This window comes from Homo sapiens, chromosome 4, assembly GCF_000001405.40.
Source record: "Homo sapiens chromosome 4, GRCh38.p14 Primary Assembly".
Classification (NCBI taxonomy): domain Eukaryota; kingdom Metazoa; phylum Chordata; class Mammalia; order Primates; family Hominidae; genus Homo; species Homo sapiens.
In genome coordinates, this window is record NC_000004.12 from 10,584,749 (window position 1) to 10,611,389 (window position 26,641).

A 26,641-nucleotide genomic window follows, 5' to 3' on the forward strand; every position below is an offset into this window, starting at 1 on the left:
GGACAGTCACAGATCAGGCTGTACCCTGGGGCAACTGGAAGGAATGGCATTACTAGCTAATGTCATTTCAAATAGGCCATAGTTTTATTGAAATAAAAACAAAAAAGAATGGAAATAACAGCCCAACAGACCCATGCTGACATTCCCACCACTTAGGTGACAGAGAGCCCCGACTCACCTGTGGCACTATTGATGCGAGGCCATGACCTAGGGCAGAAAAGAGAACCAAGTTAAATGTCCATTGCTCCACCTCCACCGACCCCCCGCCACATAGGAACAGGCAGTCATCAAACGTCATTGTACAAGTCAGCCTCTGAAGCTGCTTTATGTATGTACTATTGTAGACCTGAAGTCACATATTATTCTATTATATATAGAAATATTGTACATATTTCTATTTTCTGGAAAATAGCATGTAGAAGAAAATAAAAATTGACACCACAGGTTATATGTTGGTTATTCTCATGTAAATAGCTGTATACGTACCTGAAGATGTATGCATACATTTAAACACATATAGGTAGTGTTAAATCAAGCTTAGCCTAAAGCTGCCTCCTTACATATTTTAAGTTCTGCCTAAAGGTTTCTCTATACATCATGAACTATAAACAGATGGTAGCCTATAGTTGTGGCAATCACCGAGTTTTGGCCAATCAAATGTAGCCAACTGTTCGAACTGTGTTCAAATCAGGCAAACGCCGAGCTGTAACCAATCCAGCTGTTTCTGTACCTCACTTCCATTTTCTATATATCACTTTCCTTTTTCTGTCCATAAACCTTCTTTCACCACGTGGCTGCACCGGAGTCTCAGCCTCCTCTGGCTGGGAAGGCCACCTGATTCTCAAACCATTCATTGGCCAATTAAGCTCCTTTAAATTTCATTCAGCTGAAGTTTTTCTTTTATCAGTATAAATATAAAAGAGCCCAGCATGGTGGCACACACCTGTAGTCCCAACTCCTCAGGTGGCTGGGGTGGGATGATCACTTGAGCCCAGGAGTTCACGTCCAACCTGGGCAACATAGCAAGATCTCTTGAAAAAATAATAATATCAAATAACGTGTAGGATTTTGATGTTACAAATATATTCTATATCTTCAAATGTTATTCAAAAACAAAGTATTGATTATCTACCTCAGTGGTCCTCAACCATTTTGGCATCAGGGACCAGTTTCCTGGTATTTCCACAGATGGGGGTGGGGGATGGTTTCGGGATGAAGGGAAGAAATTGTTCTACCTCAGATCATCATGCGTTGGTAGGAGTCTCACAAAGAGCGTGAACCTAGATCACTCTCATGCACGGTTCACGGTAGGGTTTGTGCTCCTATGAGAATCTAATGCTGCTGCTGCTCCGACAGGAGACAAAGCTTAGGCGATAATGCTTGCTTGTCCACTGCCCACCTCCTGCTGTGCCCAGTTCCTAACACACCACAGACCAGTACTGGTTCGTGGCCTGGGTGTTGGGGACCCCTGATCTACATGATATTTTGAAGGGGCATTTAGGTTTTTGCTAGTCCTAACTATGTAAAATGCTGCTGCTGTGTGTATTTATCATTTTAAACCTCATCTCTGAATCTTTCTTTTTTTTTCTTTTTTTTTTTTTTTTTTGAGACAGAGTCTCTGTCACCAGGCTGGAGTGCAGTGGTACGATCTCTCCTCCCAGGTTCAAGCAATTCTCCTGCCTCAGCCTCCTGAGTAACTGGGATTACAGGCACGTGCCACCACGCCTGGCTAATTTTTGTATTTTTAGTAGAGACGGGGTTTCACCATGTTGGCCAGGATGGTCTCGATCTCTTGACCTCATGATCCACCCACCTCGGCCTCCCACAGTGCTGGGATTACAGGCTTGAGCCACCACGCCCAGCTTGAATCTTTCTATATAGAGATGTTATCAAGCACAATGAAGGGGTCAAATAATGTGAACACTCTGGGCCCTTTGTTGCATATTACTCAGTAGCTTTCTGGATGAGCTGCACCAATTTATATTAATTGATATTCTTATGCATGGAATGTGAAGTGCTCGTCTCACTGTATCTCACCACCATTAAATCCATACCTTATAACCAGTTTGCCTACATGGCACTTGATTCCGCATTTTACCCATTTCACTTCCTTGATGACTAGTGAGATTGAATTTCTTTTTTCCCAAAAGGTTTTGGGCCATTTATGTGTCTTCTTTCGTAAGTTATCTGTACATGTCTTTGCCCATTTTTTTTCTTTTTTTTTTTGAGACAGAGTCTCACTCTGTTGCCCAGGCTGGAGGGCAATGGTGCAATCTTGGAATCTTGGCTCACTGCAACCTCCGCCTCCCACGTTCAAGCCATTCTCCGGCCTCAGCCTCACAAGTAACTGGGACTACAGGCATGCGCCACCACACTGGGCTAATTTTTTGTATTTGTAGTAGAGATGAGGTTTCACCATGTTGGCCAGGCTGGTCTCAAACTCCTGACCTCAGGTGATCCACCCGCCTCAGCCTCCCAAAGTGCTGGGATTACAGGTGTGAGCCACTGTGCCTGGCCTCATTTTCTGACAAGGTCTTTGCACAGCCACAATCCAACCATTGGATGGGATCCCTTTGGAAACACTTTTTCCCTAGGTTTTGGGCCATGCTTTGAAAAGCCCCGAGGCAGTGGAAGGCTCCCGAGGATGCTACTTCGGTGAGCTTACTTGTTTGTGCCTTTAATAATCCCAGGCCTCTGCATTACACCTTTCCTCCAAGGCACTCAACGTGCGTCACAGGAGCAATTAATTGAACATCGCAACACACGCCAGGTGTAAATATTTATGAGGTCTCTTCGGTGTCTGGGACGTTGGGCACAGAACAGTGAAGCAGTAAGATGTTTGTAACCAGGAGACCACGGTCTACAAGTTGAGTCTGACTTCAGCGTAACTTACTGCCTTCTGTTCACCATTTTAAACCCCAAATGAAATAACCTGTGGGCTCGCTGTTATCGCCTCAACTTTACAGAATAGGAAATAGGGTATTCAGAGGGCTCTACAACTTGCCCAATCCACAGAGCCTCTAAGAGTGAGGGATTTGACACCAGCCTATCTGCCTCCCCGGTCCCTACTGTCTCCCCTACCCCAGGCCTATAGGAAATGGCAAGTCCTGCTTAGGAGGCACCGTGCAGCTGCGACCTCAGAGCCCTTGTGGTTAACAGTTGGCGCCCTTTCAAGCTGCCGGAGGTTCTGCAGAAATTAGCAGTAAATCAGCTGGTGAGGAGCAAATCATTTATCGACGGCCTGAGTGCTCTCTCTTGACACTTTAGACATATGGCCTCTTCTCTGATGTCTTGGTCTTTGATTAAGGCCTCAAAAGGCTCCCAGGACTTGCAACTCATGACATGGGAAGTGGAAATGATATGTTTTTGTGATTGTGTACAGTGAGCTTAATGTAAGCGTGGCAAGCCATCCCATTGATCAAAGGCAGAGCATCCAACGCAGGCGGCATGCAAATCTGAGCTCGGGAATTTTGAAGAAAAGGCAAACCGTTCCTGAGATTCCAGAAGGAACTTTGACTTCTAAATTAGGGTTCTTGTTATCTTCTAACCCTGACCTTATCTGGATTTTAGCCTGACCTTATCTGGATTTTAGAATCAAAGACAAACTAGTGCTAAAAAGCATGTTGGAGATAATGTCCAGTTCGTTAGTTTTTTAAATGGGAGAACTGGGGCCTAGAGTGGCTAGCGGGTTGTTCCCAGTCTCAGACACTTGGAGGCAGAACTGAAGTCTTCTGACATCTAAAAAGAGTAGCACCAAACAGAAAATAAAATAACTCGTATTCGTGAGCACCTGTTTGGGCACTAAGATAGGTTCAACTCTGGCTGGTAGACATTTTGTTGTTGTTGTTGTCTGTTCAACCCATTTACATTCATTTTCACAATTTTTAGAATGTTCCTATTTACTTTTTTAACTTACAAAAAGCTGTACATAGTTAATGTTTACAACTTGATGAGGTTGGATATAAGTATATACTTGTGAATGGACAAGTATTACATGATACTACTTTTATGATACATCTAAAATAGTCAAACTCATAGAGGCAAATATACATCTATATTATATATCTAAAATAGTCTATATATTATATGGTATATACTATATTGTATATACTACATACAATGTATTATACGTCTAAAATAGTCAAACCTATAGAGTGGAAGGGTGGGTTGCCAAGGGCTGGGTGGAGGAGAAAATGAGGAGATATCAGTCAAAGGGTACAAAGCTTTGGTTAGACAAGATAAATAAGTCCTCAAGATATACTGGACAGCATAGTGCCTACACCTAACGGTACTATATCATATAATTGAATTTTTGCTAAGAGAGTAAATCTTATATTAATTGTTCTTGAAGTATACACACTTAATCATAATAATAAGTAAAGAGGGTGGGAGGAAACTTTTGGAGGTGATGGGTACATTGAAGGCATAGACTTAGGCCGTTAGGCATTTCCAGCTCCACTTTGCAGATTGCAACTACAACTTAGATGAGTTCAGTAACTTGCCTGAAGTGGCAGAAGCAATTGGCAGGGCTGGGATTTGTCCGAGTCCCTCCAAATCCCTTCTTATTTACAAGCCTATAGCAGCAACGTAGACCGCAGAGTTCTCTTGTCTGGGAGCTTCCTCCCAATTGTCAAATTTGTCTGAAAGTGGCTTATCTGATCCAGTCTACCTCTCAGTGGGGCCCCAGAGTAATGGTGCTCATTCATATGTCACATCCTCCGGGATTATGCACCCTGGGGCTCTCCGTGCGTCAATGCAAGCCAAGTGAATTAGCAGAGGAAGCATCAGCAAAACAGGGAATGGTGTTGTTATTCCAGCTGAGCCTGCTGCTGTGAGCCAGAGAGCTGCAGAAACAAAGCAGGGAGGGAAAAGAGGAAGGCTGGGACCAGCCGCCTAGGGTCTGGGAGGGAGGGGATCAGGAGAGGTGGTCCGAACACCATAGTTTGGTCTAGATGGATTGTGGACATTGTCTTGACACAAGCAATGGATGAGGTATCTGAAAGGACTCCTGTGTTAACACTCTGCAACTTGACAGCCCAGGGTGATTAATGAAAGGAACTGCTAGCAAACTTCGTGGAGATTTGATGTACTCTATCTGTGCTCAAGCAAGGCCCATGTATTAGCAAGCTGCCTCTTGCCAGGGAATTACAAGGATGCACCCTGGCTGCCTTTTGTCAACAGCATCCATAACATGGCCACGTGCAAGCGGGCCACAGCTGGATGGTGTTATAACTTGGCAGCCACCCTTCTGCCTTCCCTATCTCTGCTCCCCTCCACATTTGGGCCTAAAGAAAGCAATTTTTCCTTCCTCTCTATTTCCGGTGTATATAAGCCGGTGTCAACACTGTGGCAAGAAAGTGCATGGCACAGGAAATGAACAAGGCTGACATTTGGAGGTCTGTGGTTTTTAATATTTAAAGCTCATTACAAATACAGATTTTTAATTCTGAATTATTTTTAATTTGTAATACTTTTGAATAATTTAATACATCTAATAATCTTTAATTTTTAAAGGCTACTAAAGTAAACTCCGCCCCCTCTTCCACTTCTCTCTCCTGCTGCCCAGCAGAACTGGCTTTGATGAAGTAGACAGGGCATGCTTGCCTTCTACTTATCCATGGGAACAGAGTTTGGATGGTGTGTTATTCCAGTCCCATAGAGAGGGATTTGGTTCTGTCTCCAGGGTCAAGCTCCTGGCATGGAGATGAATCTTTCTTTGCCCCCTTGAGTGTGGTATGCAGTCCTTTGGTTCTCCCCAGGCACCGACTGTTAGTCCAGAATTCAGCAGCGAAACCCCTGGGAAAAGATCAGGGTGATTTCACACTGCCAGCCTTCTCTCTCTCTCAAACCTCTGAAATTAACTGGCCCAGCTCCACATCTCATTTTAAGTTCACCCCCTGACATTAGAAGGCTACTCTAGAATAAGATTCTCTGATTTTTGAAAGACAATTTGTACTTCTAAGAGTTACTCATTTTAAATATAATCTAGATAAAAACAAGGAAGGATGGAAAGTTTCTGCATTCATCACCTTCTTTCCTCTAGTTGAACGTCTGCACTGCATCTGGAACTGAGCACTGTACAAAAATGATTTCACTCAAACCTCATAGCAATTCTTGGTGGAAAGCATCTTTATCTCAATTTTAGGGCCATTGTAAAATATCACTAGTGCCAAAAGGGACATTAAACACCATAAACGAACCCTTTAATTTTGCAGATGGATTAGCTGAGGTTAGCCCTCTTGGGAGTGCCACCGAGTCTGTCTGATGACACATCTCTCCACCACTCAAAGGTGGAGCGTTTGCACCATGGAGCTGTGGGGACTATGGTTTGGAAATGCACAGTGTGCTCAGACAGTAGGGAATCTGGAGGGATGAATGAGCAAAGCCTGTGTCATCCTAGAGGTCGTGTGGAGGTTTGCAAGAGTAAAGGATGCTTAGAACTGTGTCTCACAGAGGTAACGTAGGAACACACAGCATTGATTTGAGAGAGGAGTGGACTCTGTAATATTCTAGGGAATAGGTATGATGGCCTGGACAGACCGTTTATCTTGTTTCCCATGTGGCCACCAATGCCCTCTTCTCCTTATTTGGGCATATTCTTGGTACCTATGTAATGGAACTCACACTGACATAACTAGAACAGAATGCAACTGGAATTCTCAGACTGCCTACCCTGAACCTCTAGCTCCTAAATGGGAGGTCTGGTGCCTAACACAGTGCCTGGAGCATGTGCACACCAATGTGGTGCTGAATGGGTAAGAGTGAGTGAATGTGTGAGTGAATGAATGCCACAGGCACATGCAGAGGGAAATATACAAAAGAGGGCATCCCAAAGTGAGACGGGCCAGAGATACACTGCAGATCATGTCTGGGTCTATACCTGGACCTGTCCTATCCGAGCAAGGCCAATGGAGTGCCTGGCACGTAGTAGGAAACTACTCCACGTGTGTGCACAAGTGCCACTTAAATTCCCCTGGAATCGGTTGTACATTTTCAAGATTAGAGATTGGAGAGCCTCTCTCAATCCAGATGAAATTCACTCTGAGGTGGAATCAGGCCAAGGCTCATTTTAAATAAGTGAATCCATGGGTTCATTCTTTCTAGAAGGCATTCCCTATTGGTTTCAAGAATTCTCCTCTTACCTATTTTATTTGTATAAGAAATATTTGGGGCATGTAATTCCCTGAAGGGGACCTGGGAAAAACACTGGAAGTGTTTAGTGCCACTCACAACTCTCATCAAGCTCATACACCCAAGACCCTCTTGGCCGAGTGAGGCTCCCACCTCCTCAGACCCTGCCCTGCCGGGGCCTGTCTGGTCTCCTCCCTCCTCTGAGAACCTGTGGCACTTCTTACTCGAATCATGCATTTAGTAAATCTGGACGATGACATATAATTATTCATTTATTATTTAAATCTCATATTGTAAAACCTTACTTGAGTTTTTTTCCTTTCCTCAATTAGACTTTAAGTTCTTTGAGGGCAGAAAACATGTCTATATAAGCTATAGTCCTGTTCCTATAAGCTATCAATCAGTGCTCCCAATACATATTAAAAAACAAAAACAAAAATATTTGACACTCTGATGGGTTCTGCAGCAGACAAGTAGAGTAGCAGGATGATTTGCCAGACATGTTTTAGCTCAGACATTCCTCTAGCGGGCAGAGCCACTCCTGAAATCCCTTCATCCACTCTCTGAGCCTCCCCCACTTCCCCACTTGGTCTCTGTCTTCTTCCTCCTTTCTCCATCCTTCTCTCCCTATTGAAGTTTCTTTTTCACGTCTATTTAAGTATCTAGTAAGTGCCAGGCATCATAGGAGGCTCTCGGTATACTACAGATCAACAGCATCCTAGGGTTATCCACAACATAAGAACCTAGGGTTCTGCCTTGATTCTTCCTTCTTCCTACTCCCCCATCAGCCAATGTTTCTTGAGCATCTACTTGTTGTTTGTTTGTTTGTTTGTTTGTTTATTTATTTATTTATTAGTTTCTTTTGAGGCAGAGTCTCACTCTGTCGCCCAGGTTGGAGTGCAGTGAGGTGATGTCAGCTCACTGCAACCTCCACCTCCCGAGTTCAAGAGATTTTCCTGCCTCAGCCTCCCTTGTAGCTTGGATTACAGGCACCCACTACCATGCCTGGCTAATTTTTGTATTTTTTAGTAGAGATCAGGTTTTGCCATGTTGGCCAGGCTGGTCTGGAACTCCTGACCTCAAATGATCCACCCATCTCAGCCTCCCAAAGTGCTGGGATTACAAGTGTGAGCCGCAGTGCCCAGCCTGAGCATCTACGCTGTAGGAGCCCTTTGAGGACAACTCCCAGAAAGCCAGTGGAACAACACATTTTCTTCCCTGCATCCTCTGTGAAAGAACCTAGGACCTGTCACAAAGCTCTTTGCTTGTGAGACCTTTCAGGGCGGCACTCCGCCTTCTGCATGGTGAGGTGGGCCACAGTGAGAAAAGTGACCCTTATGGCTCTCTCAGTGCTGCAGAGGCTCAGGGCAGGCGGGGCAGACCAGAGCAGTCAGGAGAGCGGGCAGCGGTTATGGCCAGCAGGTTCCTGGGCTTGCCTGACTGAAGGGACCCAGTAGAGGGCCTCCTAATTCATGGAATAGAGGAGGACTCCAGGCGGGGCACGGTGGCTCATGCCTGTCATCCCAGGTCTTTGGGAGGCTGAGGTGGGTGGATCACTTGAGGTCAGGAGTTCGAGACCAGCCTGGCTAATATGGCGAAACCCCATCTCTACTAAAAATACAAAACTTGCTGGGCGTGGTGGCAGGCAGCTGTAATCCCAGCTACTCAGGAGGCTGAGGCACAAGAATTGCTTGAACCTGAGAGGCGGAGGTTGCAGTGAGCTGAGATAGCACCACTGCACTCCACCCTGGGTGGTAGCATGAGACTCAGTCTGAAAACAAAACAAAACAAAACAACCCAGAAAAACAAAAAGAGGACTCCCGTCTCCAAAGGATGATGACTGGGCCTCATGGGCCCTGAGAAATTATGGCTGCCTGCACTTTGTCCCCCTGGATCTAACTATTGCTGCAGGTGCTAGTGGCAGAAAGGAAGAACTCCATAGCCAATGAGGTGACGAATGGGAAGGGTCTGAATGTGGATAGTGTGGTGACACTGTTCCTAGCATCGCTGTCAAGAGTAAAGGATGGAAAGGAGACTAGTGCTTGGAAAGTGAAGATGTGGATTAGAATCTTGGTGCCACTGCTCAGTACAGAGAGGACTTGGCAAGCCCTTCAGCTCCCTGGTTGATCCTGTGTCCCTCCTGTTCCCTAGGGCCTGCGTCTGTGTCTGCCATGGTGCATGACACAGGCTTATGATCTGTTATGTATATACTTTGCAGTTCCACACCCACTCTTCTGCTTCCCACCAGATACTGAGCATGCAGGTATCCAGGACTATGTCTCGTTCATCTTTGATTTTTCCAGTGCCCAACAAAGAGAACTTAAGGAGGTTAATGTAAGAGGTCAGACATTTCCCCAGTGGGGAAACAGCTCCTGCACCCACCATTTCTCCAATCTCCCCCCATCCTCTGCCTTCCATCTTCCTCCCTCCACCCCACTCACTGTCACTTAGCGAGTAGGGGCAGAGTGGAATTCAAGCCCAGGGGCCTCTCCCTCCACTTGGAAGCTTGCACTCCTGGTAACCATGCTTCCATCCGAGGTTCTCTAACTTGAGCAAACATTGGCACCCACAGGGAGGGCTTATTTCAACATGGGTGCCTGGGCTCCAGCACGTGTCCTTCTGGTGCAGTTGGCCAGAATCTGGGAATCAGCACTGCTAAGTTCTCAGATGATGCTGAAGCTGCTGGTCCCAGGCCCATGCTCTAGGAGCCACAGCTACCAGGCCTCACTGTTATAGATGTGGCTGTGCTTTCCAGAAGGGCTGGGCACATGCTCCTTCCTCATGGTGGGGAAACTTGACAGGAGCAGATTAGTGACTCATCAGAGTAGAAATCTACATTCATATGTATATGCTGACATATACTTATAAATAAGAATATACATATACATACATATACATATACATAAGAAAGTTTTTGATCACTTAGAACCCAGAGCTAGGCATGATGGCCCACACCTGTAATCCCAGCACTTTGGGAGGCCAAGGCGGGCAGATCACCTGAGGTTGGGAGTTCGAGACCAGCCTGACCAACTTGGAGGAACCCCATCTCTACTAAAAATTCAAAATTAGCTGGATGTGGTGGCACATGCCTGTAATCCCAGCTACTGGCTGGGGGGCTGAGGCAGGAGAATCGTTTGAACCTGGGAGGCGGAGATTGCGCGATTGCACTCCAGCCTGGGCAACAAGAGTGAAACCCCGTCTCAAAAAAAACCAAACCAAACCAAACCAAACCAAAACAAAAACCCAGAAATGCCACTTGACTTGAAGCTAGACTCAGAATTCAAATCCAACTGGTACCACTTTCTACTGGGACTGTGACAAAAAGATATAACCTCCCTCAGACTATTTTTCCCTATCTGTAAATGGGAATACGAATGCCTACTTCAAAGCATTATGGTGAAGACCGAATGCCAAGGTTCTGGTGCATATTGGGTGCTCAGTTATTGAGTGGAATTCGGATTTAATTGACAAATATCAGCTGGTGTTTTTCTTTCATTATAGACATGAGGAAACAGTACAAAATAAAAGTGGGTATTGCGGATTTAGTAGGATGTTATAAAACACATTCATCTCAATATTGCAGACAGGTCATGGTTAATGAATATGGATGTGATCTGTATTTTACTTGGAGATCCTCCCAGGCCGTATCATCCAAGTGGGGCCCAGCACTCAGCTTGGTGTTTTACTTTGTTTATTACCAGGAGATCAAGGCACTTTTGACCTTGGGGTGGTTGGGCTGTGGGGGCCTGCAGGAGACTTAACTCCCACACTCAACCTAGCATGAGGGCAGTGATGGGGAGCACCAGGGTTGTTGATATTAGTAATAATAATTACAGCTGCCATTTACCATATCACAACTAGCCACTGAGCCTCTAGGGAAGTTATTCACCCTCTCTGGGCTGCATTCTTCTTTCCTGTAGAAAGGAGACTAATAAGAGTGTAATTGTTGGGATCCAGTGAGGGTTACCTATTAGCTGTTAGAACAGCACCTAGCACATAGTGAGCACTCAGTGACTATTAGCCCACATTATTTAATGAGAACCTACTCTATTCCCAGCACACCTCTGAGGTCATCCATTTATTCTGCGGACACAGGAAGGTTCAAGAGATTCAATAGTGAACATGAGAGTCTACTTTTTCAAATACCATTTGTTTTTCTTTTTGAGACAGAGTTTCGCTCTTGTTGCCCAGGCTGGAGGGCAATGTCTCTATCTTGACTCACCACAACCTCCGCCTCCCGGGTTCAAGTGATTCTCCTGCCTCAGCCTCCCAAGTAGCTCGGATTACAGGCATGCACCACCACATCTGGCTACTTTTGTATTTTTAGTAGAGACGGGGTTTCTCCATGTTGGTCAGGGTGGTCTCGAACTCCTGACCTCAGGTGATCCGCCTGCCTCAGCCTCCCAAAGTGCTGGGATTACAGGCATAAGCCACCACATCTGGCTTCAAATATCACTTCTAAAACACAGGAGGTGTTGGAATGGAAAAAGAGGCTTGTCTGGGGCCACACGGCTAATAAGCAGCTCAGATGAGGTTGAAATCCTGATTCAATGGACTCATTCTACACTGCAATGCTGCCCATAAGTAGCTTCTTCCTTATCTTATCATCATCAAATATTGATAATTATAATTTTTACAGGAGTAAATACATTGGTTTAATAGTTAAAGGAAGATGGTAGACACAAATTTGTAGTTTTCAGACATTTTTAGTTGATTTATATATCTCAAATAGTTTATATTCATATAATGCATTCATTATAAAATATGCAGTGGTATAGAGATTTGTATGTCTATGTTTTTTTTTAAATTTAGGTTTATAAATAGTTTGGAACAGGTTGCAAAAACATCATCTGTTGCTCTTTTTAATATATCTTGAGCATGCTATGACACATTCTGAAATAATTTGCTTCAGAAAAAAGCACTGCTCTTCTCTGTCTGTCTTTTTTCCTCCAAATGTAACTGTAAATATTACTTTGATGTATGTAATTGCTTCAACCCTCTCCATCTGAAAGAGGGCTTCTAAACCTTCTATCTCCCATCTCTTGCTATTGTCAAGAAATAAGGAAAATGGACTTAAAATGCATTATTCAAATGTATTTAGTGTAAACATTAAAGAAGTCTGAGAAAGCCACAAATTTCCCTCTACTCAAAGTGGTTTTGCAAAACACCTCAAGTATTCTATCATCTTACCAGCATTCATTCACTCTGCTTAGGATAATTATTTATTCTGGCACATTTTAGAATTCCAAGACCGCTTATAGTGTCTGGCACATAGTAAGGACTGAAGGATGTTTGATGGATGGACTTGAATTGGGATTCGAGGATTGATAGAACTTGTGAGGACCCTTGGGTGCCTCCAGGAAGAGAAGCCACCCCAGGAAGGCTTGGCCAGGGAGTCCCACCTGAGCATGGGAGAGACGGTTCTGCGCATGAGGATGTGGCCCAGGTTTAGTCGGCTGGGCAGCCCTGGGCAGTGTAGAGCTGGATTTGACTTTAGGTCTTGTCTCTAGTCAGTAATTCGATCAAGTTAGCACAGGATTCGATCAAGTTCTGAGCTTTTTGACTAGTCTGCGAGCTCCTTGAGGGAGAGACTTTGTCTTTTGTTGCTGCATTTTCAGTAGTCTATGCAAGTTTTGATACCATAACCACTCAGCAAATGTTATTCTCAATTGAAGGACAAAGGAAATAACAGTGTAAGCACTTGGCTCTCTCTTGTCTGCTTGCTGTGAGGCTCCAAGGTAAACTCGTGGCTGGATCCATGATCCATCATTCAAATCATTCATTGGCAGAGGAATAGAAGCCTCTCCATCACTGGCTCTCTCTGGGGTTGTTTAGAGACCTGGGAGGAGTGGGTGGAAAGAGGCCTGGCCTGCAGAGCTGTGGAGGTGGGGGCTTCTCAGCCTAGGTTTGTATCACACACCTGCTGGCTGCTCAACCCCAGCCAATCCCCTTCTCCTGCACCTTGGTCTCTGTCTGACCTCTAAGTCACTACAGGTCATTCCATCACATTGACAATTTTCGTGTTTGTGATGGTCAGCTTATTTGCTACAGAATTAAAATTTTCACTCCTCTATTAATAAACAAGTAAATATTCTGACCTGTTTTTTGGCAGACTGAAGTTCTGGAATTTCAAATCGTTGGATCCTTCTTTAGTTGTCTTTCTATTGCCCCTGGGATGAAAGAAAATAAATTATAGCTGGGAAATAGCAAGAAGCTAGGGGAAAAATTAATTAAGTGCATTCATTCATAGAAAGAGCCACCCAGTCAGATTTAAGTAATTATGTCTCACACATAATTCTGAATCTCTCTTTGCATTACCACTAGGGTTAAAGAAAATTTGTGTTTAAAGTAATCCAATTCTTAATTTTTTAAATGTAAGAGCTTTATTTTACAGGAAACAGTAGTGTGGGGCAGAAGAAATGCCCATTCAAGACAAGGATGTGGGCTGCCTCTCCCTCATCAACAGGGTGACCTTGGTACCGTCCTTAAGCTCTGCCAGTATCTGTCTCTTCTGTAAAATGAAGAATATCATACTTTTGCCACATGGTTGATGAGAGGCTGTTAAGAAATTTGAGGGACAGCAACCGTGAGCCAGGCAATGTCTCAGATGCTTCCCTATGTTGGTTGAATTTCATAAAAATCTAGCAAACATTATCCAACGTGGGAAGACAGACTATTTAGCAACAGCCACTCTGATTCAAGTAATATTTATTGAGCTCCCATATCATTTAGGCACTTTGCTAAGGCACTTTCTATGAAGAGATTAACTTATTTTTCATTGAGTTAATTTGCTAACATTCATTAAATACATTCACTGTCATAAAGCATCATTGTTATGCATTCCTAGTTCATTTAATCAGCCACGTTTCCCACATTTTCCTTTCTTTTGCAGGCATTTCATTAGCTCTATCAAACACTGACTGGTGATTTTTTTCCTCCACAAATGCTCCTGACCAACTGCCTCCTTAGCTCAGCTACCCTCTTTGTCCTCCCAGTTCCACTTGGGGCAAATTTGCCTCTTTCTGGTCCTTGGACTTTCTCTGCTCCCTCCCACGGGGCCCTTTCAGGTACCGTTCCCTCTTTATCAGATGCCCTTGTCTTCCTTCTTCTTATTAACAACAACTCTTACTTCCGAACTCAGCTCAAGTGCTACTTCCTCAGAGAATCCTCCTCGGCCTCACAGACTCGCTCCTTCACAGCACTTGCCTGAGTTTTAATTTTCCTTTTGTTTTAACTGGTAACTTGTGTTCACATCTGACTGTTGAACTTCCATCTCCACTAGAGCAGAGATTTGTAGGACTTAGCATCCCCAGGGCCTGGGTCAATGCCTGGTCCACCGAGGAGCTGAGTGGACACTCACACATGTACACAAAAAACTAAAGAACTCCAGGAAATACTTTATGATGACTTGAGGCTCTCTCTTCATCTGGGATTTGCCTGTAGCCCATAGAATAGAACATAATAAATTTAAAAATCTGCGAGTTGTTTGGGTATATTTTGTCACTGTGTAAATTGACCATCTAGAAAGATGATGGCTTATTTCATTATCATTAATTTCATTCTTTATTTTAAAATTTCATTATTGTACTATTTCACATATTTCATTATTCATTGTTTTTTTTCTATCCAAATACAGCTTAATTCACATATTTCCATCTGCATTCTGACTTCTCTACTAAGTTCCAGGCATGAACACTGAACTATTTTCTGGATCTTTCTAATTGGTTATTTCCCAGCAGACACAGGCCTTTTTCCTAGCGAGAAGCTCCATTGCTCACATGGTTTCCACACCAGTAGCCTGGGTGCTAATCTTGAGTCTTCCCACCCCTCCCCCTCTATCATTGACATCATCCGAATCTGTTAACAGATCCTAACAGTCAGATTCCCCAGATGCCTCCTGACTCTGTCTCTTCTTTGTCGTGTTCATGAGCTATTTAATATATTCAGCCTTACTTCTGCTTTCAGTATCTCTAGGCTGACCTCCAGCATCTACCCCTAGCTGCTTTCCTGGCCTCCTGGGTTCCAATCCATACGCCAAACTGGATCAAGAAGAACCTTTGTAATTATTAATAGCAGAATATTATCAAGTCACCTCCTTGAGAATCCTCATCAGTTCTCTATTCCTGCAAGATAAAACCCAAACTCTTAACCATGATAGCTAAGTTTCCTGCCCCAGTGGCTTTGAATCCCATTTCTGTTGCTCCTTTATTTCCTGCTACCCTCTCTCTCTGCCAAGTCATCCCACACTGTGGCCTCTGGGCCCGACCTTTTTTTTTCTTAATGCTCCCATATCATTGATCTAATTATTCTTTTTGCCTCCTCTGGGCCTGGCAAAATGCTTTTCATTCTTCAAGGTCAATTTCAAATATTACTTCCCCGTGAACTCTTCCCTGCTGCTTCCGCTTTGAGTCCCTCTGGTACTTTTGCATACCTCTCTATGGCCATTCATTTCGTTTGTTCATGAGTCTAATCATTCATTTACTCAACAAATAGTTATTGGGTTTATTCCATACTAGGCAACGCACTAGGTAATAGGGTATAGTAATTAAAGGACAGATGAAGGCTGCTTCCTGGAGTTTTTAGTGTATTTAGGGAGCCAGGCCATAAGCAAGTAAACAATATAATATTGTTAAATGCCCTGTACATGCATTCATTATGCATGTACATGTCCATATCCCCTTGCATTGGAGCCTTGCAAGGGTAGATTGTAGCCTGGGCATCTTTTTCTCTCCTAGAACACTGGCTAACTGACCCTGCCTGCTTGCAGGAATGTTTGTAAGATAATAAATAGATACCTAGATGCAAATACATAAATAACTTGTGAGTCTGGGCTCATACACAATAGCGAGCCATGTAGTTAACTGGACAGAGTCCTTTGAATCTCTCTGATACCAGGGGAGTTCTGGCCTATCCCTGCACTGAGTAGGAGCCCTCACTTTCATCATGTCTCTAGGTTATTGGCAACTTTTCTGTTTTCTGACAGCCCATGTAGCATTTGCCTAAATGGCTTTAACCAGGCCAATTTTAGGAGGATGGGATAGAGTCTGAGAGTTTCTTAACTTCTTCCTGGGTGCCTCGAGAACCCAACAGACTGGGAGCTACCTCTGACCTTTCTAGATAATCAGCTTTGGCCTTTTTAACTTTAAGAAGAGAGCTGGACTCAAACTCTCTTTTTATTTCATGTTTGTAGCAACCCTCAGTAGCGAATAGGCAGGCATTCTTCTCAACTCCATGCTACAGATGAGGAAACGGGACCCTAGAGTGGAGAGCATTTAGTTCCAGGTGGCCAGGCTAGTTGGGGGTAGAACCAGGGCTACACATCTCTTCGCCTGTCTCCTGGAGAATGTGTGTCAGCTATGTTGCAGAGGAAGCCAGCGCAGGCCCAGCTGGAAGCAACTAAGGGACACACCAGCGAGAAGGAAAGCAGGTGGGGAGAATGGAGAATGGGGAGGAGGAGGTGTTCTTTCTACAGTGGATTATTGAAGCAAAATATTAACAAGGCTGGAAAATAAAGAGCCATCTACCTAGACAGTAAGTGGTTAAAGCCTGTTTGAAAATTACTTACAAAGAGCAACAAGCATTACCAGGTCTCCCTGCCCTAAATCTGAATCCTAAGTGTTCAGATTTTAGAGAAACTTTTAAAAATATACAATGCTGGGAGATTTATAAACTCTCAACACATCACAGAAAATGTTATTAAAGAATGTTAAGCATAATAGGGCAAAATTGTTTGTTTTGCATTGAATTGAGATCTGACCTCGAAAGGAGATGCTCAAGGTTCCCAAGTTGGCTACCCCACCTGGGGAGGACAGTGCCATTTACTAGTCTCCTAAGTAGATGCACATCATTTTACAAGGCCTCAAACATTTGGGGCCAGCTGCCTTTCCTGTCCACTCAGCCCATCCCACCCACCTAGTGAAATGAATCACAAAAGCTTTTTAAACTGCTGCTCGATTTGCTTGTCACAGACTCTGGCCAAGTGTCCTCCAGGGAAACAACACAGGCTAATTGATTGCACAAAGAACTGAGCACATCCTGGGAAAGCTGGAAGTGCCATAGGCTTGTAGGGAAACTGAGGTACAGAACATCAGTGGGCCAACCAAATAATTGTTCTTGCAATCACTTCATCTTCTGCTGAAACAGAGCACATCGCCCCACACACTCCAGACTGTTTTCTTGAGCACCCTTCCAGCACCTTCAGGTCCAACACTTTGCATTGATCTTTGATTTCCTTTTCACTTTCCGCATCTCCCTCCTGCATGACCAGTCAATGATACCCATCTAGTCCTCCTTCACATTTTCCTTGCCTTGTCCCTATCTAATTTCCCCTGTGAAAATGTCTTCTGCAGACCCTTATTATTTTTCATGTAGACCTAATAGCAGCCAATACAGTGTAGTTGAATTGATTTGTGGGTTTAACGACGTGTACCAAGGTGTATGTCTACCCCAAAACTGTACATGTGACCTTATTTGGAAAAAGCGTCTTTAGCAATGTAACTAAGCTAAGGATCTTGAGATCAGATGATCTTGGGTTAAAGTGGGCTCTAAATCTTGGGTTAAAGTGTTCTTCTATGAGGAGGCTGTGGAAAAGACCCATGTGAAGATGGCGGAGATTGGAGTGATGTTGTCACAAATCAAGGAACACCTGGAGCCACTAAACGCTGGAAGAGGCAGGAAAGAAATCTCTCCTAGAGGCTTGGGAGGGAGCACGGCCCTAGCTAAACTTTGATTTCAGACTTCTGGACTCCAGAACGGTGAGAGTAAATCTCTGTTGTATTCAGCCAGTACGTTTACGTTTGTGGCAATTTGTTATGGCAGCCGCAGGAAAGACATGCACTAAACATCTCTTCTGTCCCAAGAGACGAAAAAATGAATCAGACTCCCATCCAAACACAGGCAATGCAATAGGCACAATGATAAAAAATGTACACATGGTCTAGAAGAAAAACGAGGAAGAAGCTGGTCAAATATTTAAGTGATGGTATAGTCAAGGAAGGCTTTCACTAGGTGGTGACAACCAGTGAGGGGTTGAATTTGCCAGATGGATGACATGGCAAGTTGACGGTGGAGAGTAAGTACAAGAAGCCTACTCCGAGAGTTAAAGACATCTTCTCCATCCCATCTTAGTTATTCCCCTCTAATTTCTCACCTTTTCAGAGAGATGCTCCCGGCTACACCCAATGTGACTGGTGCAGTCTGACTAGCACAGAAAGAATTGCCATTTCTTCTGTTGTAAAACTGCACTTCTCTCAATGGAGTTTAGCTTAAGTTCTGACTTTTCCAGAACCTTCTCATTCTATACACTCAGAGTGAGCTTGCAGGCTGCTGAGAAATCACTAAAATTGCTCTTAAGCCACAGTTCTCTTTCAAGGTCTTATACAGTTTGATTTTTGGCACAAACATCATGAATAATAATAATAAGGTATAGCACCATCATTATAATGAAAATCAGAACTGCAAGAAATTTATATAAGATTTTCACCTAACTGGTCATTGTTTGTATTTCACAACATATTAGTCCATTTAATCCTCTTAACAATCCTATGAGACCAGTCCTATTCTATCCTCATCCTGCTGAGTTTTTTTTGCCTCATGTTCAGCACATGTCCCATCTCCTCAGGAACTGCCGCAGGTTGGGCTCCTGAGGAAGCAGACTCTGAGACAGAGATGACCACGTAGAAAGTGTTTTAGGGAGTGCTCCTGGCACCAACCCCTGTGGAGGGAAGAGAAAGAGGCAGAATTGGGCAGGGGGAAAAGTGGGCTGTGATGCAGTTGCAACAGAGGCCTCAGCGGCCCCCACGGGGAATGAGGGCTCTTCTGAGTATCCCATGTTGGGGTGGGAAGGCCAGGTCTATGCACTCCTGGGTGGCCCAGTCAGTGGGTGTGGGCTGCTCCAGGTGAGGCAATCCTGCTCAGCCAAGGCAATTCCCAAAAAAGGTTAAGAGAGAGACCTGGATGGAGACTCACAGAGTGTAGTACAAGATCATCTTGGATTCTGACTCTTTTATTTAGTGAGTTTGAGGATCCAAAGAAGCCAAGATGGGCTTTGGTTATATTTTTTAGTAGAAGAGAATGAGAAGGAGCAGAAAGAAGGAGAAAGGAAGGGCTGAAGGCAGGAGTTATCCTGAGGGCAGGTGTCCCCGGGGAGCGAGTAGACTGGATATGAATGCAGCTATGCCAACTGAACAAGCTATTCAATGAATCTCATTCCCATTTTGCACATGGGGAATAGCAGGGGGTATATCACCTTCCTCATACATTGATTGCATGTTCGTGATTATATTTATTCTCTAGGGCCCAATTCTTACCCCAAATGACGAAAGAATATCATAGTTGAACAACCAGTAGCATCAAGAAGGGCAATTGGTAATTGAGATATTTCAGCCAGGTCAGAAATGTGGCTTACTCAATTACAAAGAGGCAAAGCTGCAGTTCTAGAACTGTAGCCAAGTGATCGATGTCCATTTTGTTCATTCCATTTGATCCCTAAGCTGTAAGGGTGCCAGGTGTAAACTTCCTTCAAATTGCATATTCATGCACACGCTTCTTCTAAGCCGAGGAGATTTTTAGCACTCTCCTTGAGCAACTAAAGGAAGGTTCTGGGGTCATGATACACCATGGCCTAGATGCCAGTCAACATCCATGTGCTTGATCTGCCCATCCTGGAAAAAGTAAAGGGCACAAAAAGGCTTCTTGTCACAGCTTTTTTTTTTTTTTTAAGTTTAAATATGTGTGTATGGGGTCTACTCTTTCAAGTTCATCAAGCCCCACCATTCATTCCCTATTATCTCACATTTTTATATTAGGAGACTGCCCCCTGAAAATTTGAGCTGTAACCCTTCACATAGGAACTTGAGAGGGAAGTCCACTAATGAATTTCCAGCAATGAGATGTTTTAATCACTACTCCCCACCTATTCACTGCCTTTGCAGTTTCATGGTGTGATGGTTAATTTTGTGAGTCAACTTGGCTAGGCTATGGTGCCCAGTTGTTTGTTCAAACACCAGTGTAGACGTTGCTGTGAAGCTATTTCTTAGATGTGATTAATATTTAAATCAGTAGATTTTGACTAAAGCAGATGATGCTTCATAATGTGGGTGGGCCTCATCCAATCAGCTGAAGGCCTTAATAACAAAGACTAGGGTTTCCTGAACAAGAAGAAATTATGCCTCAAGACTGCACCATAAAAAGCCTGCCTGAGTTTCCAGCCTATTGCCCTGTGGAATTTAGTTTTAAGACTACAACATCAACTCTTACCCGGATCTCTCGCCTGCCAGCCTGCCCTACGGATTTCAAACTTGCCAGTTCCCAGAAGCTTGTGAGACATTTCCTTAAAATAAATCTCTCTTGCTTTCTCTCTCTCTCTCTACGGATACATATGTATATACAGTGACACATCGCTTAATGACGGGAATGTGTTCTGGGAAGTGTGTCCTTGTGTGAACATCGTAGAGTGTACTTACACAAACCGAGACGGTGGAACCTACTACACACCCAGGTGATACGGTATAGCCTATTGCTCCTAGGCTACAAACCTAAAGAGCATGTTACTGTAATGAATACTGTAGGCAATTGTAACACAATGGTACTTGTATATATAAAGATATCTAAAAATAGAAAGGTACAGTAAAAATAAGTTAAAAAAAGATAAAAAAGGTACACCTGGGTGGGGCACGGTGGCTCACACCTGTAATCCCAGCAGCACTTTGGGAGGCCAAGGTGGGTAGATCATAAGGTCAGGAGATCGAGACCATCCTGCCCAACATGGTAAAACCCCGTCTCTACTAAAAATACAAAAATTAGCTGGGCGTGGTGGTGCACACCTGTAGTCTCAGCTACTTGGGAGGCTGAGGCAGGAGAATCGCTTGAAGCCAGGAGGCAGAGGTTGCAGTGAGCTGAGATCACACCACTGCACTGTAGCCTGGGGACAGAGCAAGACTCTGTCCAAAAAAAAAAAAAAAAATAGAAAAAAGAAAAGAAAAGAAAAGGAAGTGGTATACCTGTATAAGGCACTTACCATGAATGAAGCTTGCAGGACAGGAATTTGCTCTGGGTGAGTCAGTGAGTGAGTGGTGGGTGAATGTGAAGGCCTAGGACATGACTGTACACTACTGTAGGCTTTGGAGACTCTGTATGTTTATTTTAGAAACATTCTTTTCTTTAAACTTAGCTTACTGTAATTTTTTATGTTATTAATATTTCAATTTAAAAATGTTGACTCTTGTAATAACACTTAAAACAAAAACACATTGTATAGCTGTACGAAGATACTTGTTATATACTTATTCTGTAAACATTTAATTTTAAACTTTCAAAATTTTTATTACTTTTTAAACATTTTTGTTAAAAAATTAAGACAGTAACACACACCTTAGCCTAGGCCTGCATAGGGTCAGGGTCAATGGCATCACTACCTGCCGCCCCAACACCTTGTCCCACTGGAAGGTCGTCAGGGGCAATGACACGCATGGAGTTGTCATTTCCTGTGATATCAATGCCTTCTTCCGGAATCCCTCCTCAAGAACCTGCCTGAGGTTGTTTTACAGTTAACTTTTTTTTTTTTAATATAAGTAAAAGGAGCACACTCTAAAATAACAATAAAAAGTATAGTCTAGTAAATATATAAACCAGTAACATAGTCATTTATTATTACTAAGTATTGTGTACTTTACGTAATTGTATGTGATATGCTTTTATATGCTGGCAGCACAGTTTTGTTTACACCAGCATCATCACAAACATGTGAGTAATGTGTTGCATTACAATGTTATAGCAGCTGCCGCATTACTAGGTGATAGGAAGTTTGCAGCTCCATTATAATCTTATGGGGTCACCATCATATAGAAGGCCCATCATTCACCTAAATGTTATATGGTGCATGACTGTATCTATATATCTATATCTATATCTATATATACACACACACATAGTTGATTCTGTTTTTCTATAGAGCTCTGACTAATACACATCATAAAGCTGTAGTCATTGGGAACAGCTTCTTGACAGATACAGGAGAAAAAAAATGTTTTTAACAGGTAGTAAGCATCTAGGTTGTTGCGGGTACTGCCCTGGGTGAGCTGATTTAATCGTCACAACTTCTTAAATTAGATACACATATTGTGCTGATGTTACAGATGAGAAAACCATGGTTCAGGGCTCTAGCCATTTGGGTCCTATAGTTAGACATATCTTGGTTCAAAACCTGTCACTTCAATGAACAGACTCTGTTGATGATTGGTAGTCCATTCTAGGCAACACTGGGTGTCTGAGGAACGGGGGAAAAGGTGCATCCATAGAGTTTCTGTGCTGATGGAGCTCACAAGAGTCGAGCAAGGCTTTGAGCTGGTTTCTGGTAAGAAGAACAAGGACAGGTGAGAAGGTCCTAGTAGGTTGCCGTTGCCCCACTGTGGCATGCTCTCTTTTCCCCCACCTGAGTCATACTGGAGTTTGAGCTGCCAGTGAAGACACAGTGGGTCTTGTTATCTATCATTTGGCCATAGTACAATCTCTCTCCTGATCTGGGTTGTTTCAATGAACGCATGCCTTGCTATCTTGCAGGAAGCTTCATTTGCTGGGAAGCAGACACTGATGATAAGGCATGATTGCAAACCCTACTCAGAGATTGTAATCCTATAAAGTACAGTATCTCCTTGTGCCTTTGCATGCCAGGAAACACAACCCACTGAATTTGGAGGCTGTTTTTGTCTTGCCTGGCAATATGTCTGTAGCACAAAGTTAGGGAAATGGCTCAAATAGAAGACAAGCTTCTATTCTGAAGCAGCTGCAGCATTAGGGACCTTGCTCAGAGGGTCCTATACATCTTGTCAGTGCCTCCCATTTATGGTGTTTTCAGCCACAATCCTGGACAATGAGTCCAGGGACAGCCAGCTGAATAGGACTGAGGGCTTGGCTGTGTGATTCAGATTTGAGCCCTAACTATTTTATCAACTCATTGTGTCACTGAACTAAATCACTTAACCATTCATAACTATAAGCCCTGGTTATTGAATCTGTAAAATCAGAGGGTGAGGCTGTTTCATGTTGTCCATGGTGGATAATCATGAAAAATATCCTGAGCAATTTACTGTACCTGTGTTAAACAGAGAGGAATAAGAGTGCTGAATCATTAGCAGCTGAAAATCTAGTAGAAGAGTCCCAAAAAATCCATGTACTTGGAGAGATGTGCATATGTAACATGACATGAGAACTTGGAGTGTCCTGTGCTTACCAAAGCCTCTTGATCTTTCTCCCGGACCCCTGCAAGAATTCCTCCATTGATCTCCTTGACACTAATCCCTTTCCACTCAAAGATCTTTTACAATTTTATCTTAGTTATCATTTCAACTCTTCAATTTTGTTTTGCAACCTACAGTCCACGCAAACTGAACTTCCTGCTCAGCTGAAATACAGCAACTTGAGATGCAGATTGCTCATGCAGTCTCCTCGGCCTGCTAGGCCCATTCCCTCTCTTCTCCTCCTCTTCTCCCATCTCTACATCTTCCAACTCTCCTTGGTCTTCTGGTACCAGCACAGATGCCATCCTTTCCAATAATCTTTCCCAAATGTGTCTAGGTGGATGTAACATGTTTCCTCTGTGAACTAGAATGATGCTTGCTCTCTCCTTAGTGAACAACAGCTGTGTTTTCTGAGCCCCCAGCTTCGTCTCGAACCTTTTGCCTCTCCTTTTGCATCCTTGTTGACTATTCCTAAAAGGCTCTGTGTCTGGGTCATGGGAACCAACTCCTTAACAATGACGAAAATTCTTTACTGAACTGTGTTGAAATCGGGAAGAAAACCCTCATGTTATTCTGAAGTCAACTATGCATTAAGTAGCCTCTGTGGGCTGGGGATTGCATTAGGCCTTGTCTGAGTCAGTTCGGGCTGCTATAACAAATTACCATAGGCTGGGGGGCTTGAATAGCAAACATTTATCCCTCATAGTTCTGTAGGCTGAAAAGTCCAAAATCAAGCTACCCTTAGAACTGGCGTTTGGTGAGAGCCTGTTTCCTGATTTGCAGAGAGCTGTTTCCCTGTGGTATCCTCACGTGGCCAAAAAAATCATCTCTCTTACATTTCTTCTTAGAAGAGCACTAATCTCATTCATGAGGGCCTCAAGGGCCCCACTTAACAATACCATCATTGGTAGTTGGAATTTTGACGTAGGAACTTAAAGGACACAAACATTCAGTTCATAACAGGCCTGGGTCACGTTAAACAAGACAGGATAGGTGCTGCCCTCGTGAAGCTGACAGCCAAGTGAGTGGGAACCAAGCCAATGAGCAAGGGGCTCTCATCCCCCCTGCTTCTCTTTTCCCCATACTCCTACCTTTATTTACTCCTGATTTGAATGGCTGCCTGGTTTCAGGACAGTCTACCTGGCTCTGGCCCTATTTTCCCTTGGTACTCAGCTCTAACAGCTGCCTGTTGGGTTCATACTTAGTCAGAACTCCTTATTGGTCAGGAGGTAGCCCATTCTCTGATCTCCTTCCAGTCCCTGGGGTCCACCTGGGCTGCATTCCTGTCTTCTAGCTTCTTCTGACTCACAGTAAGGCCCTCGGTTCTCCATTGAAATGGATCAGACTTTGGTTTTCAGTGACTGCCACCTGCACAGTCATCATTTGCATGCATAACTTCTACCAAAACTCTGGATTTCCTGACATTAGGGACCACCTGTCAAGACCCTCACACAGAAGAGCAGCAGAGGAAATATTTGTGCATGAGAAGATCCAAGACTCCTGGAGGCAGGAATGCCTCAAGGGAATAACTAATTCTTGTTTACTGAGGCAGAAAAGGGCTTCAGACTGTTCTAGAATAGACCAGCACTGCCGATGGGTTGCAGGTGCAAAGTGGAGGGTGGCATTTGATTTTAGCTCCTTCTTTTGCCAGAGTTGTAGTCTCAAAGAATCTCAAAGCATGAAGCTGGGTGGAAAAATATATATCATCTGCTTGAACCTGCTAATTTTACAAATGAGGAAAATGAGATCCTATGAAGTGAAATCATCTGTCCAAGCTAACCAGATGCTGAGAGAGAGAAGGTTCCACTGCAGCTTCTGGCTCCATGTGAGGTGATCCGGGTCCCTTCTATTTGGCCTTGACTTCCCTAGTACTCGTTTTCTAATTAAGCCTCGTTATGTGCCTTTTAAATGAATGCTCGTTTTTTTTTTTTTTTTTTTTTTTTTTTTTTTTTTTTTTTTTGAGACGGAGTCTCGTTCTGTCGCCCAGGCGGGAGTGCTGTGGCGCGATCTCCGCTCACTGCAAGCTCCGCCTTCCGGGTTCACGCCATTCTCCTGCCTCAGCCTCCCGAGTAGCTGGGACTACAGGCGCCCGCCACTGCGCCCGGCTAATTTTTTGTATTTTTAGTAGAGACGGGGTTTCACCGTGGTCTCGATCTCCTGACCTCGTGATCCGCCCGCCTCGGCCTCCCAAAGTGCTGGGATTACAGGCGTGAGCCACCGCGCCCGGCCCGTTTTTTTTTTTTCTTTTTAATCTTCTTGGGGAGAGAAAAAGAGAAAGACAAAAAAAGCTGATCTAATTTAGAAAACAAGAAAATAATCCTGAATCTTTGATGCCCAGGTTTCCAGAAAACCCATAAAAGCTTTTTCCCCCCTCTTCTTTTTGGTTTAAATTTTGATTCAGCAAGAGGAAATAAATGAACCTAGACAAAGAGAGGCCTTACATCTCATTTTTCAAATGCTTTCTCCTTTTTTTCTCTGTCTCGACTGTCAAGAGATGTAGCTTTTAATAGACCATCAATGTATGTAATGAGCAAATAAAATAACAACAGTGAATTACCCCTTTTATAGGTCCATAGACGTGTTCCTGGTGGTTTAATTTATAGGTGGTCATGCCTGAAAGATTCTGGATGCGTGATAGAAAACAACATAAAAAAGCAACACACACACACACACACACACACACACACACACACACACACACACACGTATGAATCCTCAAAATAAAAACTTGATTTGTACCTGGTAAGTAGACACCCCATAAATAGCCTGAGTAAAAAAGACATAATGAGCTGGCCATGGTGGTTCACGTCTGTAATCCCAGCGATTTGGGAGGCCGAGGCAGGCGGATCACTTGAGGTCAGGAGTTCGAGACCAGCCGGGGCAACATGGTGAAACCCCATCTCTACTAAAAATACAAAAATTAGGCTGGGCGCAGTGGCTCACGCCTGTAATCCCAGCACTTTGGGAGGTTGAGGCAAACAGATCATGAGGTCAGGAGATCAAGACCATCCTGCCCAACATGGTGAAACCCCGTCTCTACTAAAAATACAAAAATTAGCTGGGTGTGGTGGCATGTGCCTGTAATCCCAGATATTTGGGAGGCTGAGGCAGGAGAATCGCTTGAACCCAGGAGGCAGAGGTTGCAGTGAGCCAAGATCACAGTACTGCACTCCAGCCTGGTGACAGAGCAAGGCTCCGTCTCAAAAACAAACAAACAAACAAACAACACAAAAATTAGCTGGGCATGGTGGCGGGTGCCTGTAATCCCACCTATT

The 26,641-nt window shown here is 43.8% G+C and overlaps 1 protein-coding gene across 3 annotated transcripts in view; it reads right to left on the bottom strand.

Annotated features, from left to right (window-relative positions):
* Window positions 1-26,641, bottom strand: part of CLNK (cytokine dependent hematopoietic cell linker) — a 248,452-nt gene that overhangs the window by 98,354 nt on the left and 123,457 nt on the right. For all 3 annotated transcript variants that reach the window (XM_011513775.3, NM_052964.4, XM_017007684.2), the window contains exons 3-4: window positions 13,230-13,301; window positions 179-207 (exon numbers count right to left, since the gene is read on the bottom strand). In XM_011513775.3, the coding sequence (XP_011512077.1) occupies window positions 179-207; window positions 13,230-13,301 (101 nt within the window). The remainder of the gene's footprint in view (window positions 1-178; window positions 208-13,229; window positions 13,302-26,641) is intronic.